General features: G+C 53.4%; 1 protein-coding gene and 1 long non-coding RNA gene across 35 annotated transcripts in view, besides 5 other annotated features; one reads left to right on the forward strand and one right to left on the reverse strand.

Annotated features, from left to right (window-relative positions):
- The window catches only part of GNB1 (G protein subunit beta 1), a 105,802-nt gene extending 97,675 nt beyond the window's left edge, over nucleotides 1-8,127 (reverse strand). For 21 of the 33 annotated variants that reach the window (XM_047418078.1, XM_047418076.1, XM_017001061.3 and 18 more), the window contains exon 1: nucleotides 7,860-8,127. The gene's annotated coding sequence lies outside the window, so the exon portion shown is untranslated. Of the gene's footprint in view, nucleotides 1-7,403; nucleotides 7,534-7,859 lie in introns of those variants that run through there. The other 12 variants (XM_047418074.1, XM_047418055.1, XM_047418062.1 and 9 more) reach the window with 10 other exon arrangements.
- Nucleotides 5,640-6,139: an enhancer, noted in NCBI's record as "H3K4me1 hESC enhancer chr1:1820039-1820538 (GRCh37/hg19 assembly coordinates)". NCBI's record gives its function as "activates a minimal SCP1, AML or CMV promoter by ChIP-STARR-seq in naive H9 embryonic stem cells {active_cell/tissue: H9 hESC(naive)}" and the evidence as "EXISTENCE:reporter gene assay evidence [ECO:0000049][PMID:30033119]".
- Nucleotides 7,442-7,631: a silencer, noted in NCBI's record as "silent region_92". NCBI's record gives its function as "represses an Ori minimal core promoter by ATAC-STARR-seq in GM12878 lymphoblastoid cells {active_cell/tissue: GM12878}" and the evidence as "EXISTENCE:reporter gene assay evidence [ECO:0000049][PMID:35858748]".
- Nucleotides 8,192-8,381: a silencer, noted in NCBI's record as "silent region_93". NCBI's record gives its function as "represses an Ori minimal core promoter by ATAC-STARR-seq in GM12878 lymphoblastoid cells {active_cell/tissue: GM12878}" and the evidence as "EXISTENCE:reporter gene assay evidence [ECO:0000049][PMID:35858748]".
- GNB1-DT (GNB1 divergent transcript) lies at nucleotides 8,220-9,766 on the forward strand. Of its 2 annotated transcripts, none has more exons than NR_168264.1 (2): nucleotides 8,220-8,423; nucleotides 8,940-9,766. It is a non-coding gene; the product is annotated as a GNB1 divergent transcript (long non-coding RNA). The 2 variants fall into 2 exon arrangements; NR_168263.1 differs by having other exon boundaries at nucleotides 9,068-9,766.
- Nucleotides 8,502-8,601: a silencer, noted in NCBI's record as "silent region_94". NCBI's record gives its function as "represses an Ori minimal core promoter by ATAC-STARR-seq in GM12878 lymphoblastoid cells {active_cell/tissue: GM12878}" and the evidence as "EXISTENCE:reporter gene assay evidence [ECO:0000049][PMID:35858748]".
- Nucleotides 8,662-8,911: a silencer, noted in NCBI's record as "silent region_95". NCBI's record gives its function as "represses an Ori minimal core promoter by ATAC-STARR-seq in GM12878 lymphoblastoid cells {active_cell/tissue: GM12878}" and the evidence as "EXISTENCE:reporter gene assay evidence [ECO:0000049][PMID:35858748]".

Genomic DNA, 16,056 nt, shown 5'->3' on the forward strand with positions numbered 1-16,056 from the left:
GAGGCATAGTTCAAGATTATTCTACAAAGGTAAAGGAAAGCCTTTAAGAGCAGGTTACTGTGGCTCACATCTATAATCCCAACATTTTGGGAGGCTAAGGCAGGAGGATCACTTGAACCCAGGAGTTGGAGACCAGCCTGTCTCTACAAACAATAAAAAAAATTAGCTGGGCACGGTGGCATGTGCCCGTGGTCCTAGCTACTTGTGAGACTGAGAGAAGAAGATCGTATGAGCCCAGGAGGTCCAGGCTGCAGTGAACCATGATCATACCATCACATTCCACACTCCAGCCTGGGTGACACAGCAAAACCCTGTCCCAAAAAAAAAAAAAAAAGAAAAAGAAAAAAAAACCTTTCAAGAAAAGATAAGGATGTGAGAGATTTAGTAGAAAGTAAGGCAGTAAATAAGTGATAGGGATTTGCAAAGATAGCTAATATGCATGTTCCACACCCTGAATTAATATTCTTCTGGAACCATGGAGAAAAAAAGAAAAATCTCAGTAAACTGTCATCTTATAACATTTGTTAACCTTGCCATAAAAGAAATTTTTACAAAGCAAGGCCATCAGCAACAGAAATAGCTAATCCTTGCACTGAGCTCTGTTATCAGTGCCCACATCAGGACTCATTTAATCCTCACAATGACCCCATGAAGGAGGCTCTAGGAGCCTGTTTCACAGATAAGGACAGACACAGAAGTCCTAACACTGCAGGTGGCCTAAATTAAGGCAGGCTCAGGGAGGACAGAAAGCTCCTGTGGAGTGGAAGGGTAGAAGTTGAACTGATCTTGATTTTCAGTGCGAATAAAAGTCCTAACACTGCAAATCAGCCAGTGAGGCAACAGAGCTGAGCTGGGCTCTAACTCAGACAGTGCCAATCCTTTTGAAAACTACTGAATTTCTCTCACTCCCTAGATTTTAGGAATTATTTTAAAATTCCTATGAGAAATTTTCTGAAACCTATTGTAGACTCTTTTGACATGCTCATCTAATTATAAAGTGTCCGGACTTTTTTTTTTTTTTTTTGACCGAGTTTCACTCTTGTTGCCCAGGCTGCAGTACAATGGCACAATCTCGGCTCACCGCAACCTCCGCCTCCCAGGTTCAAGCGATTCTCTTGCCTCTGCCTCCCGAGTAGCTGAGATTACAGGCATGTGCCACCATGCCCGACTAATTTTTTTTTTTTTTTTGAGATGGAGTTTCCTTCTTGTTGCCCAGGCTGGAGTGCAATGGCACGATCTCGGCTCACTGCAACCTCAGCCTCCCGAGTAGCTGGAATTACAGGCATGCATCACCATGCCTGGGTAATTTTTTGTATTTTTAGTAGAGATGGGGTTTCTCCATGTTGGCCAGGCTGATCCACCCTCCTCGGCCTCCCAAAGTGCTGGAATTACAGGCGTGAGCCACCGCGTCTGGGCTAATTTTGTATTTTCAGTAGAGACAGGGTTTCTCCATGTTGGTCAGGCTGGTCTTGAACTCCCAACCTCAGGTGATCCGCTCACCTTGGCCTCCCAAAGTGTTGGGTTTACAGGCATGAGCCACCACACCCAGCCCAGAATTTTTTAAGCTTTATTAACTACAACACTCGGCAGAAGTTGAGTGTCTGTAATCAACATAGGGAATATATTTTCTAAGTGCTACAGGACTGCACACAGACATGCATGGAGACATGATTACCCACCAGTAAACAAGAATACATTCCACTGATGCCCTTAGTATTCCCATTCTTTTTTTTTTTTTGAGAGACGGAGTCTTGCTCTGTCGCCCAGGCTGGAGTGCAGTGGCGCGATCTCCACTCACTGCGAGGTCTGCCTCCCGGGTTCACACCATTCTCCTGCCTCAGCCTCCCAAGTAGCTGGGACTACAGGTGCCTGCCACCACGCCCGGCTAATTTTTTTGTATTTTTAGCAGAGACAGGGTTTCACTGTGTTAGCCAGGTTGGTCTCGATCTCCTGACATCGTGATCTGCCCGCCTGGGCCTCCCAAAGTGCTGGGATTACAGGCATGAGCCACCGTGCCCGGCCAGTATTCCAATTCTAACAGGTGAATGAATTAATACATAAAGTCCTCTCTTGATATAATGCATTAGTAAGTTTGGAGCAATGAATTATTAAATCATAAAAATATTTTATCTATGGCAAAATAGGTTCAACAGAATAAACTTAAAAATTAAGCTGGGCACGGTGGCTCACACCTGTAATCCCAGCACTTTGGGAGGCGGAGGCGGGCGGATCACTTGAGGTCAGCAGTTTGAGACCAGCCTGGCCAACATGGTGAAACCCCATCTCTACTAAAACTACAAAAATTAGCCAGGCATGGTGGCGGGCACCTGTAATCTCAGCTACTTGGGAGGCTGAGGCAGGAGAATCACTTGAACCCGGGAGGCAGAAGTTGCAGTGAGCCAGGACAGCGCCATTGCACTCCAGCCTGGGCAACAGGAAGGAAACTCCATCTCAAAAAAAAAAGAAAGAAAAAAGGAATTACCTTAGATAATCTTAATCTGGTCTTTTAAATCAGTAAGCTTTTAAAAAATGGGTCTTTCTCAGAATTCTAATTTAAGAAGACATAAATAAGGAAATACTTCCACTTAATCTTTTTTTTTTTTTTTTTTTTTGTGAAACGGAGTCTCGCTCAGTCACCCAGGCTGGAGTGCAGTAGCACGATCTCGGCTCACTGCAAGCTCCGCCTCCCGGGTTCACGCCATTCTCCTGCCTCAGCCTCCCAAGTAGCTGGGACTACAGGCGCCCGCCACCACACCCAGCTAATTTTTTTGGTATTTTTAGTAGCAATGGGGTTTCACCGTGTTAGCCAGGATGGTCTCAATCTCCTGACCTCGTGATCCGCCCACGTCGGCCTCCCAAAGTGCTGGGATTACAGGCGTGAGCCACCGTGCCCGGCCCACTTAATCTTAAAAAAAAAAAAAAGCAAGCAAGCAACATTGCTCTATAAAACAGAAAGCTTTTCTACCACTGAAAGCCAGGAGTAATTTCCACTGATTACCATGGCACCCAATGGTAGGCACTGACACAAGAACAAGAGGCTAAAAGGTTTAAAAAAGCTTTCAGCATTCCGGCAGGGCACGGTGGCTCACGCCTGTAATCCTAGAACTTTGGGAGGCTCAGACAGGCAGATCACCGGAGGTCAGGAGTTCAAGACCAGCCTGGCCAACATGGTGAAACCCCATCTCTACTAAAATAAAATTTTAAAAAATTATCCGGGCATGACGGCGGGTGCCTGTAATCCCAGCTACTCGGGAGGCTGAGACTGGAGAATCACTTGAACCCGTGAGATGGTGGTTGCAGTGAGCCGAGATTGCGCCACTGCACTCCAGACTGGGTGGCTGAGTGGGACTCTGTCTCACAAAAAAAGCTTTCAGCATTCCACTAATCCACTAGCAAACTCAAATGTCTATAGATTGTCTCTATTTCTTCAATCAAAGTTCTAGAACAAAATGCATAGCTTTGAAATAGGTGGTGCTCTGTCCCTCTCCCAGAGCAGCTGATGTGATGTTGCATTTCTCTCTCTTCATACACACTCACTCCCATATACGTTGGCCCTGCTTTTTCTTTCAGTAATGTTGAACACTGCAGTTTCATAAATTTCTGATAGTTTCCATTTTAAATTTATTTTATCTCCTCATTCTGTGTTCCTAAACCAAACACTTAACTGAATTGCCTACTTCATAATCTCTCCAACCACTCTTAACAAATGCAAACCTGAAATCAGAATGTAAACCAGTTTAAAATTTTTTTTATTTTTATTTTTTGAGACGGAGTCTCGCTGTGTCGCCCAGGCTGGAGTGCAGTGGCCGATCTTGGCTCACTGCAAGCTCCCCCTCCCGGGTTCCTGCCATTCTCCTGCCTCAGCCTCCTGAGTAGCTGGGATTACAGGTGCCCAGCACCACGCCCAGCTAATTTTTTGTAGAGAAGTAATTTTAGTAGAGAAGGGGTTTCACCGTGTTAGCCAGGGTGGTCTCGATCTCCTGACCTCATGATCCGCCTGACTCGGCCTCCCAAAGTGCTGGGATTACAGGTGTGAGCCACCACGCCCGGTCAAACCAGTTTAAAATTTTATAAAAATTTTTGTTCCATGTCTTGTGAGACTTACACTAAATAGGGGTTTCAAAATAACATGGCCTGCCATATGGTCAAGCCAGATTTAAAAATTGAGAATATCTATTACCAATCCACTAATGCTAAAGCCAAAGTCACAGACAGTAAGAATGTAATCCAATTTAGAGACCAACATGAGCCAAATCTTTCGGGCAGAGAAAAACAACGACAAAACTATAATAAATGCCAACACTGCACTTCTAAAATAATACCAATGTTATTCATTAAAGTATTAGCTACAAAAAGTCAACTGATGGTAGATGAAGTCTAGAGATGCCCTGAAGACCTTTTTCATCCTTTTATCAAAGCTGTTTTTAGCTACAAAGCTACAACTTTTCCAGTGGACCAACACACACATAAAATAAACCAAAAGACCCAGAAATTTTTAGCAAAGCAAAGGGAAGAGAACAAAGCTCTGGTACTTTTGCAGGATAGTACAACATCTCCTTTGAGAAATAAATTAACTTTTCAAATTCTGTTTCTCAAGTGATCAACATAAATCTACCTAGATGATACTAGCTTTGAAATCAAAGTCATTGGGCATCAAAAGGATTTACAGAGGTTTTTACTCTTTTGAGACACAGTCTCACTCTGTCGCCCAGTGGCACAATCTCGGCTCACCGCAACCCCTGCCTCCCGGGTTCAAGCGATTCCCGTGCCTAAACCTCCCGAGTAGCTGGGATTACAGGCGCCCACCACCACGCCGGCTAATTTTAATATTTTTAGTAGATACGAGGTTTCGCTATGTTGGCCAGACTGGTCTCAAACTCCCAGCCTCATGTGATCCGCCCGCCTCCACCTCCCAAAGTGCTGGGATTACAGGCGTGAGCCACCACACCCAGTGGGTTTTACTCTTAAAAACAAACAATAAAAAAACCACACACTATTCTGCAGTCTCTTGAATCTTCTAAGATTAAAATTAAATCTGAGAAAATTTACTTCAACTTTCCCACCCACCAAAAAAACAGAATTAACTGAAGATATCAAAGAAAAAACAATATTTTAAAGGTATCACTGAAGAGCACTGTCAGTACTTGTCTGATGAGATAACTATGGTTCTGTCATAAATTCAGATTACGCGAGAGAAATAGCTTTTGGCCAGTGGATGTGCTCTTTTGAGAAAGTCAATTCTGAGCTGAAATTTCATGTTGGAACAGTTTCCTCTATAAGACTCATCTTGAAAGGTTCCCGCAGAAGATAAAATGTCATCCTCACACTGGGCCTGGGCAGTGCGCACTTAACTGGGAGGGGGCACAGGCACCTCAGAACTTAACTGGTTTTCCAAACTCTCAATCTCAAAAAAAAAAAAAAAGGCGGGCGGGGGGAGCACTTTCAGTGTTGATGAAACCAAATGCTCGTAACCTGGGACCACCGCCCAACACCTGCAGTCCAGCCTTCCCCCAGGGTTGACAGCATCAGCCTCTGGACCCTGCAGTTGCAGTTCATTTCTGCGCAGCTCTAATCGTTAGAAAGTTCTGCCTTACCGGCTGGGCGCGGTGGCTCACGCTCGTAATCCCAGCACTTTGGCAGATCAAGGCGGGTGAATCACCTGAGGTCTGGAGTTGGAGACCAGCTTGGCCAACATGGTGAAACCCTATCTCTACTAAAAATACAAAAAATTAGCCGGGTGTGGTGGTGGTAGCTGTAATCCCAGCTACTCGGGAGGCTGAGGCAAGAGAATCACTTGAACCCGGGGGCGCGGAGGTTGCAATGAGCCGAGATCGCGCCACTGCACTCCAGCCTGGGCAACAAGAGCGAAACTCCATCTCAAAAAGTAAAGAAAGTTCTGCCTTAGCATAAACCAAGACAAAACCCACCATTCAGTCCTACCCTGGGGAGGCTCTCAGACCTGTCTCCATGTCAGTGGCACCACCTCCATCCCCAGCCTCGAACCCAGCGTTAGCAAAGAAGGAACCGCCTATCCACTTTCTTGATATACATACCTTCCCAAAGAATCCAGAATAGACTATGCATGTCAATAGCATGAAAATTAAAACCTTACTTTCAATAAAGAGCTCCTCCCTCTCCCAAAAGACTATCACTTCAGATTAGAAAATAACTTATGCAAAAACCTTATCAATAACAATGCTTGCTCCAAAGACCTTATTCAGTATGCAGTTCACTGAAACTTTCCACAAAACTAATACGTCCATTTGCTAATCATGAAAAATAATCTTCATATTTTCTTAATTAATAATCTCACCAGCAACTGCTTAATCACCTAATACTATTTGAGACTAATGTTATCAGATAGATAGCAACATGAAAATACAATGAACCAATGCTCCCCAAAAGAAAACCATAGGTTACCATTTCTACACTATTTACCCATAAGTCCAGTACTGTACACCCTAACTGTAAATGTACACCAACTCCCTTTTCAAAACACAAATTTTAACATCGGCGTTTTCCTTCAGGAGCCCATTTCACAATCTTAAGAAAAAGCTTCCATGAAGACAGGCTGGGCACGGTGGCTAAGGCCGCTAATCCCAGCACTTTGGGAGGCTGAGGCGGGAGGATCGCTTGAGCCCCAGAGTTCGAGACCAGCCTGGTTAACAGGATCTCTTTTACAAAGAGATCCCATCTCTTAAAAAAAAAAAAAAAAAAGGCTTCCATGAAGATGAATTAAGCAAACAAAAGCTGATACTGCTTCTGCATGCTAACCATGTAATTTAACGGACACAAGAAATGTTAAAATATCATTTGAATCAACTATCGATTCACAAGAAAAAATATAGCAGGTTCTTAAAAGTCAAAAGCCTCAGCCGACAGCCCTGTGGAATTTTCAACAGATCTCCCCACTCCCCACCCCCACCCCGCTTCCAGCCGAAAAGCCGATCCAGGCAAGAGGAAGACACCCAGCCTTTGTGCTATTTCCTGTCCTCTCCCCCACCTTCGGGCCTTCGGAATATCGCAAACCGGGCCCCGAAACTCGGCGCGGCGGCGGCCGCCCCACAAAGGCAGCGGTGGGAGCGCCATCTTGGCGCGGCCACCGGGCCCATTCATTCGCGGGGCCGGGCCGGGGTCCGCGCAACCCTCGAGTCGACACGCGCGGGGCGCCAGCGCCGGACAGACCCGGGCCTCGGCAGGAGAAGGGCGAGGCCACAGCGCGACTGCCTCAGCGGCTCGACACAGCGAAAAGGGCCGAAACCGTTATTTTCCCATTTCCCGACGCCGCGCCCGGCTTCCGCTTTAAATCCCTACTCCGACCGCGGCGCGCGGCCCGGCTTCCCCATTTCATTGTTCCCCTTCCCCACGCTCGCGCCCCGCGGCCGCCCGGCCCTCAAAGTCACCCCGATAGGCGGCCCGCGCGGGGGCTCCGGCCGCCGACACCGCCCCGCCTGCAGGCCCGCCCGGCCTTTGTTCTCGCGCCGCGGGCCCGAGAGCCACGTCCGGCTCCCCACGCAGGGCCCGGCCCCGCCCGACCCGCGCCCCCGGGGCCCCGGCCGCCGCCACGGGAAGCGCCCGCGGCGCACACAACCCCGCACCCCGGTGCCGAAACTCGGCCCCCAGCCTTGGGCCTGGGACCCCGGCTCCTCTCCCTAGACCCCGCCCTCGACCCCGACCCTGCACCCCGAACCTCGGACCCCAGCCCCCGGCCCCCCCTTCGGACGCCGCCCGCCGCACCCGGGCGGGGCAGGAAGACGCGGCCCCGACCGGCGGGTGGGGTGGGGGCGGGGCGGGCGCCCCCAGGGCGGGCGGGTGGACGAACAGGACCCGGGTCCGGGGCTGGGGGCTGCCGCGCTCACCTCAGCGCCCTCGTCGCGGCCTGACGCGCCCACACCGCCGCCTCGGCCGCCGCTCGGCAGGTCGTCGCGCTCGGGCCGCGCTGCGCGCTCCGCGGGCGCTGCGGGCAGGTGCGCGCCGGCGAGGCTCGGTCCAGTCCCGCCGCGGCGGCTGCTCCACTCCCGGCCCCGCTCCCCACTCGCCGCCCGCTCCCGCTCCCGCCGCCGCCGCCGCCGCCTCCGTCCGCCCCTCAGACGCCTCCAGCCATCGGGATGGGCGCGGCGGGCCCCTGCCCGCAGCCTCGGAAAACCCCACGCGCTCGCGTCACCACGCACGCCGCGCGTCGCGCGCGCTCGCCAGGCCCGACGGGCACGCGCACGCCTGTGCGCGTCCAAACCGCATCGGGCCCCGAGCGCGTGTCCGAGCGGCTTAAAGGGGCCGTGCTGCTGCCTTCGGGTACCGCTGCCCCGGGAGACCCCCGGCGGCCCGGCCCTGCGGGGACCGGGCGGGATGGGGACCGGGGCAGTGGACCCTCGGAGTTGGGATGGGGCGGGGGGAACGCGGGCGTGGAGCCCTCCGGGGACAGGGTAAGGTTGGGTAACCGTGGGCGGGGGCTCCTCCAGGGGCGGGGGTGGGGTAACGGCGGGCGGGGGGCACTCAAGCGACAGGGCAGGGGCGGGAAGGCCGCGGGCGGGGGCGGTCCCTCCGGGGACGGGGCGGGTGGGGGCACCGCGGGCGAGATCGCTTCCTGCAGAGGAGGCAACAGGCCCCGCTAGCAGGTCAGGGTCCCGGGCAGGCGCAGGTGCCCCCCGGCCTCTCAAGCAGGGACTGCGGCGAGCTCAGACGCGGCTGACGGGCAGAGACTCGCGCTTGGGCTCAGTGCGTGTGAAGTGGGCCTCGGGCTGCGGAGGAGGGCAGCACCCCGTGGCTCCTCGCGCTGCTGCGAGCAGGGCCGCCTGGCAGGGGCGGGGGCCGGTGGGCGGGAGTGTCGGGGTAAGGCCGCGGACTCCTCCCATGCCGCTGAGCAGTGGACAGCGGGGACTGGAGACCTCCAGGTGAGGAAGGGGAACGAAGTCAAGAAGGCCACATGTCCTGGCTTCCAGGCTTGGTGTCCTCAGAAGCCTCCAGAACGTCCATGGAACCCGCCCCTGCGCCCACCGCCTCCTGCTGTCTTTCCAGCTGAGTTCCGGCTGCCCCTCACCCTCGGCTTCTTCACTCTGCCTCTCCCCAGCCAGCGCCCTGCTCCCCGGTCCTCAACCACCACCTTCCACCTGCCTGGGCCTTCATCGCCTCCGAGCTCCCCTTCCACACCAAACCTGGCGTCCGTTTTCCTCCAGGCCTGCACCAGCACAGCTGAAGGGGAGAGAGACCCAACCTCATCCACTGGGCCTCCCCTCAACCAGGGCCACAACCTCAAGGGGCCATGCCACCTCCAACACCTATTTCCCACCTTCTACTCTCTCCACACCCTGGGACACCACCCGCCTCTCTCAGCTGACGTTTTCCTTCTTGTTTTGTGTGCATGGTGCTTGTGTGAGAAAGTGGACACACAGTAAGTGCGGCTTCCAGATGCGTCCGCCACCTGCCCTCCGTGCCACGCGCTTCCCCCTACCTAGGGGAGCCTCCACCAGACAGGGAACCCACGCCTTGCCACCCTTCTCTCTCCCTCCCACTTCACCTGTCCGCATCATTTCTGGAGCCCTTTCTTTCTGGCACGAGATGCTCCAGGGCCCTGTTGTATTCTCCCTGCCCCAGCCTGAACCCAGCTATTTCTGCTGCAGCCTGGTTCATTGTGGGAGAATGTCATGCAGAGCCCGGGATCTGGCTCCGGATGTGCTCATTGCTACTGGGGTGTCATTGCAGCTGGCGGAGCAAGGGAACACATCTATGTACATGCCCACACGCATATGTATACACACAGTTTCATGGGCGTGTTTGTCTGTTTTTCTTGGGCACCACGTGTTTACTCTGATGCCAGGCCAACACTACAGGGCTCAACCTGTTCGGAATGAGGGGCCTCCTGCTTTGGGAGTGAGGAACCTGGCTCTGATTATCTCCTGTGTAACCAGTCTCTCATCCTTGCTTCCACCCCACCATATGCTACCCGCTCCTCACCCTGCGTGGCCTCTGACCTCCGCTGGACCACCGAGGCCCCGCCCCCACAGGGGCGCCTGCCTGCCTAGCACAGTTGAGCAAGGAGTGAATTCCCAGTGAAATTTTTTTAATTTTTATTTTATTTATTTATTTTGGGTTTTTTTTTCTTTCTTTCTTTCTTTTTGAGATGGGGGTCTCCCTGTGTTGCCCAGGCTGGTCTCAAACTCCTGGGCTCCAGCGATCCTCCCACCTCAGCCTCCCAAAGTGCTGAGATCACAGGCAGGAGCCACTGCGGACACAGCCTGAATTGTCAATCATATCACTCCTGTGCCTGAAACCATTGACAGTTCCCATCACCCGCCCTCTCCCCAGTGTCCAGGCCCCTCCTCCCCTCCCCACTATCAAGACACTGGCTCCTGATGCTCCCCGACACCACCGAATTCCATCCTCCAGGCTTTGGCCCAGTGGCTCCATCTGCCTGGGACGGTCTCCCCATAACCTCGTGTAGTTCAGGCCTTTGCGGGTGTCACGTCCATGGAGATGTCTCCCCAGCCCTAACCATCCCTCCCAGGTGCCTCTCTGCCTGCTCCGGGCCCTCCCCCTGTTGCAGTGTGAGCACTGTGAAGCCCACTCTTAACCGCTGCTCCACCAGCCCAGCGTGGCACCAGGCACACGGGGTCATCGGAGAACAGCTGGTGTGGCTGATAGGCTCTGAGTTCTGAGTGAGGAAGATGCAACCCAGCACAGGGACCAGTGCCCAGAGCAAGGGATCAGGAGGGACAGAACCATCACCTGGGCCAGAACAAGGGCAGGGTGCGAGGAACCTGAGTGGTTGGACTTCAGGAGAGCCGGGTTTCCGCAGGAAGGCTTCTCTGCTCGGACACTCGAGGGGCAGGGTGGAGCATGGGGCACATCCAGGGCTGAGGGACGATGCAGAGTCGGGGGACAGTGTTCTGCACGTTGGCAGGTGAGGGGTCAGAGGTGGCCCTCAGAATCTGGCAGGCCTAATGCCAGCCTTCAATGACCACCTGAATTAAAAGTGGAAATGAGTAGCAGGGAGAGGAGGCTGAGGCAGCAGCAGGGAAGCCCAAAGTGGGCAGTGGCCGTTTGTCACCAGAGACCTTCCAGCAGCTGTGGGATGGGAGAGGCCCCAGAAGGTCCCTGCAAGCCTGGCCCAGGGCCATGGAGGAGCCTCAAGAGGAGTGGGCACCACACTGCGGGCCAGACTGGGCAGTGGCAGGGCTGTACCCCAGGGCTCTCTTGTCCCACAGGCCACCATCAGCCTGGTCAGCCCATCTCAGTACAGCCAGGGCCATGAAGGAAGGCCACACAGGAGGACCCCAGGCCAGTGCCCGCCCTGGCCATATCCAAGGGGCAGGGTGCAGCCCCAGCACCTCCAGCTTATCTGTAGGTCCTCTAGGTAAGGCAGGGCTGTCCCTGGAACTTGCCCCATGGCCCAGGCAGAAATCCTATTTGATGGTTTATGGAGGGCAAAGTTGAGAGGAAGGAGGGAGGGAAGGAGCAGGGGCCCCGGGTGCTTACTCCCAGGTCTTCACTGCAGCCTGGGGCTGCCCTCTGAAGTACACAGTCCCTGGGAGGCAGAGACCTCTGCCCTGAGGACGATGTGAATCCAAAGGTGCTTCTCACCTCCAGCCAGGGCCCATCCCTGGAGATAAGAGACACTCAGAGCCCTTGGTGGCCCAGGGGGGTCTAGAGCCGGCCTCAGACCTGCCCTCCCTGCCCCGCCTCCATTCCCTTCAGCCCAGGCCTCTTGTATCTTTTGGCCCTCACCTACCACCCCGCCCTCTCCCTGGCAGAGCAAACGCTTCCCAGTAACACTCCCTTCTCTGCAAGGATCTCAGAGATCAGCCTGTGTCCCTGAGTCCAGAGCCACACCCGGTCAGCTCTGGGTCCCTGAGTCCAGAGCCATACCCGGTCAGCTGTGCCCAACCCCGGGCAAGACTGAGCTGGGCCCTGGGGTGGAGGCGGCTGCACCGATACTGGCTCCACACCAGGCCTTCTCTAAAACCCCACGGGAGCGGGAGATACAATTCAGATGCCCCACCCCCACCTGCTTCTCAGCAGGAAATGGTCTAATGTGAAAGTAGGTCTTTTAAATCCGAATTATTCAATCTGTGCATGTGACAGGACCCACAGCTCCATCTCTGTGCGCGCCCTGGGCGCCGCGCTCCAGCCAGGCTTTGAAGGGTCTCAGAGCTGCAGGGGACGTTTCTAGATTTCCAGCTCTGGCAGGAGAGGTCCCTTTGTCTTTCCCTGGGCTCTGGGCTCCTGCAGGGCGTCTGTCCTCCTCCTACCAGCACTGTGAGGTTCTCCACCACACGGCCCTCTGCTGTCGTCTTCACTTGCAGTGAGATCCAGGCCCCAAAGGACAGAGAATAAGGAGGGAGGGAGAGAGGAGAGCATCGTGATGGTGCCCAGGGGGTGCAGAATGTAGGTGATCAAGAAGAAAGCCCTAATTAGCTCCTGCAGCTTTCAAAGGAAGGGGCTGGTGGAGGAATGGGACCATGGCACCTCTCCAACCCTCAGCACACACCTGCTGAGGCCCACTGGGTGCCAGGGTGGGTTTAGCACCAGGCTCTGGCCCTGAGGCCAAAGCAGGGCAGCTCTGCTCAGGGGGTTGAGTAGGGGCCTGGTTCCCAGCTTCATGGGGAGCGGCCAGTGAGGAGGTGTCACCGCAGCAGAGCCAGGCACAAAGTGAGGGCAGGCTGCTGTGGCTGGTGAATGAGTGGCTGGCAGAGCTGGGAGGGTCACTGCCCTACAAGGTCACAGACATCATGGCCCAGGAGGCTGGTGTGGCAGGCAGAGCGAATGCCGGGCCTTGGGGGCCTCTGAGAGGAGGCTGACTGTGGCCCCCTGGACCCCGTCTTGCAGGTGCGGGGAGTTGGCCTCTGTCCCCCACCAGGACTCATCCCTTGTTCCGAAGCTCCCCACCATGCTTCTCACCCCCGACCCTCCTGGCCACCAACCCGTGGTCATGAATCATGAATTGCACATCCTTCTTGGGCACACCCGTGCTTGCACACCCAAGCTGGGTACACACATGCATGTGCACAAACACACATGAGCTGGGTATGTACACATGTGCACACACAGTGGGGAATCGGTGTCTGCTGGGGGGTGGAGGAGGTGATGGTGTAAGTGAGCAGATGCATTGTGGGGGCATGTTTCCTCTCCCTGCTAGAGTTGGACCAGAATCCCCAGAGAAAACTCACGTGGCCTCTTGTCACTCTGGTGAGCAGACCCAGGTGGGCTGACACTCGCAGAGGGAGGTGCGTAGCTTAGACCACCAGCTCCAGTAAAGACCTGACAACACCCAGCCCCTGCCTCCCTTGCAGGCCAATGGAAGAATCCACCTTCTTCCTTAGAGTCCTTTATCACAGGCTCATCTGGCCTCACTGTAGAATCCCAAAACTGCATGCACAGAGATAGAAATCCTGACTATGTCCAGTGGCCCTAAGTACCACAGATGAACCTAAAGGAAGGGCTTTTTTTTTTTTTTGAGACAGAGTCTCACTCCGTTGCCCAGGCTGGAGTGCAGTGGCACGATCTCGGCTCACTGCAACCTCTGCCTCCCGAGTTCAAGCAATTCTCCTGCCTCAGCCTCCTGAGGAGCTGGGACTACAGGGGCGCACCACCATGCCTGGCTAATTTTTGTATTTTTAGTAGAGACGGGGTTTCACCGTGTTGGCCAGGCTGGTCTCAAACTCCTGACCTCATGATCTGCACACCTCGGCCTCCCAGAGTGCTAGGATTACAGGTGTTAGCCACAGCACCCAGCCAACGCGGGGCTTTTCTTTCTTTCTTTCTTTTTTTTTTTTTTTTTTGAGATGGAGTCTCGCTGCGTTGCCCAGGCTGGAATGCAGTGGCGCAATCTCAGCTCACTGCAACCTCTGCCTCCTGGTTCAACCGATTCTCCTGCCTCAGCCTCCTGAGTAGCTGGAATTACAGGCACCTGCCACCACACTCAGCTAATTTTCGCTTTTTGTTTTTTGTTTTTTTGAGACGGAGTGTTGCTGTGTCACCCAGACTGGAGTGCAGTGGCGCGATCTCAGCTCACTGCAAGCCCCGCCTCCCGGGTTCACGCTATTCTCCTGCCTCAGCCTCCTGAGTAGCTGGGACTACAGTCGCCCGCCACCATGCCCGGCTAATTTTTTTTATTTTTAGTAGAGACAGGGTTTCACCATGTTAGCCAGGATGGTCTCGATCTCCTGACCTCATGATCTGCCCACCTCAGCCTCCCAAAGTGCTGGGATTACAGGCATGAGCCACCATGCCCGGCTTTTTTTTTTTTTTTTTTAGTAGAGATGGAGTTTCACCTGTTGGTCAGACTATTCTCGAACTCCTGACCTTGTGATCCAACCCCCCCGCCGCCACCAGCCTCCCAAAGTGCCGAGATTACAGGCATGACTCACCGTGCCTGGCCAAGGAGCATTTCAATGTCATCCCCCATTCAAGGAGTGACAGACCTTTGGTTTAAAATACAAACCTTGGCCAGGCGCGGTGGTTCACAGCTGCAGTCTCAGCACTCTGGGAGGCCAAGGTGGGCGGATCATCTGAGGTGGAGAGTTTGAGACCAGCCTGATTAACATGGAGAAACCCCGTCTCTACTAAAAATACAAAATTAGCTGGGCGTGGTGGTGCATGCCTGTAATCCCAGCTACTCGAGAGGCTGAGGCAGGAGAATCGCTTGAACCCGGGAGGCAGAGGTTGCGGTGAGCTGACATTGCGCTATTGCACTCCAGCCTGGGCAACAAGAGTGAAACTCCGTCTCAAAAAAAAAAAACAACAAAAAACACCTCTTGGCTGGGTGCCATGGTTCACGCCTACAATTCCAGCTCTTTAGGAGGCTGAGGCTGGAGCATTACTTCAGACCAGGAGTTTGAGACTAACATAGTGAGTGAGACCCCATCTCTGCTAAATATAAAAAAATTAGCCAGGCATGATGTCTCGTGCCTCAGGTACCCGCTACTCAGGAAGCTGAGGTGGGAGGATCGCTTGGGCAGGGGAGGTTGAGGCTGCAGTGAGCCATCATCGCGCCACTGCACTCAAACCTGGGTGACAGAGTGAGACCTTCTCTCAAAAACAAACAAAAACCCCACAAACCTCCCTAACAGTGAAAGATGCAAAACCATGAATGGAAAGAGCATCGTCCCCTGCCTGTAGACCCAGAAGCCGTGCACAGACAGGTACGTGTGCATGTGCACATACATTCACAATCTGAGTATATATGCATGTGCGTACATGGGAGCTGGTGATATGCACATGTGCATGCACACCCAAGCTGGGTATATGTGCATGTGAACAAACACACATAAGCTGTGTATATACACATGTGCACACACAAGCTGGATATACACACATGTATGTACATGAGCTGGGTGTATACACACACCCAAGCTAGGTATACATGCATGTGGACAAACACGAGCTGGATATACATGCATGTACATGCACACCCAGCGTGGGTATGTACACATGTGCATGCACACATGAGCTGGGTATACATGCATGTACATGCTCATCAGCTGGTGTACATGCACGTGTACACACAAGGGCTGGGTATACCCACATGTACATGCACACATGGATTGGGCATGTGAACACACGCAAACTGGGTATACATGCATGTATATGCACAGCAGATGGTATGCATGCATGTGTGCAAACACACTGGAGCTGGTAAATGTGCATGTGCACACACATGAGTTGGATGTGCACACACATAAGTTGGATATGCACACACATAAGTTGGATATACACACATAAGTTGGATATACACACATGTACATGCATACCCAAACGGTACACTCACATGTACATGCACAGCAGATGGTATATATGCATGTGTACAGACACATTCAAGCTGGGTATACATGCATGTATGCACACACATGAGCTGGGTATGCATGTACACCCAAACTGGGTATACACACGTGCACACACTCAAACTGGGTATATATGCATATGTGCAAACACACAGGGGCTGGGTATACACACATTTGCATGCACACCAGCTAGTATATGGGCATGTGCACACACATGAGCTTGGTATACACACATGTGCACACACATGCAAGCTGGGTCAGTCAGGAGTCACTGTAGCAA

Source organism: Homo sapiens, chromosome 1 (genome assembly GCF_000001405.40).
Source record: "Homo sapiens chromosome 1, GRCh38.p14 Primary Assembly".
In the NCBI taxonomy this organism is placed as follows: Eukaryota; Metazoa; Chordata; class Mammalia; order Primates; family Hominidae; genus Homo; species Homo sapiens.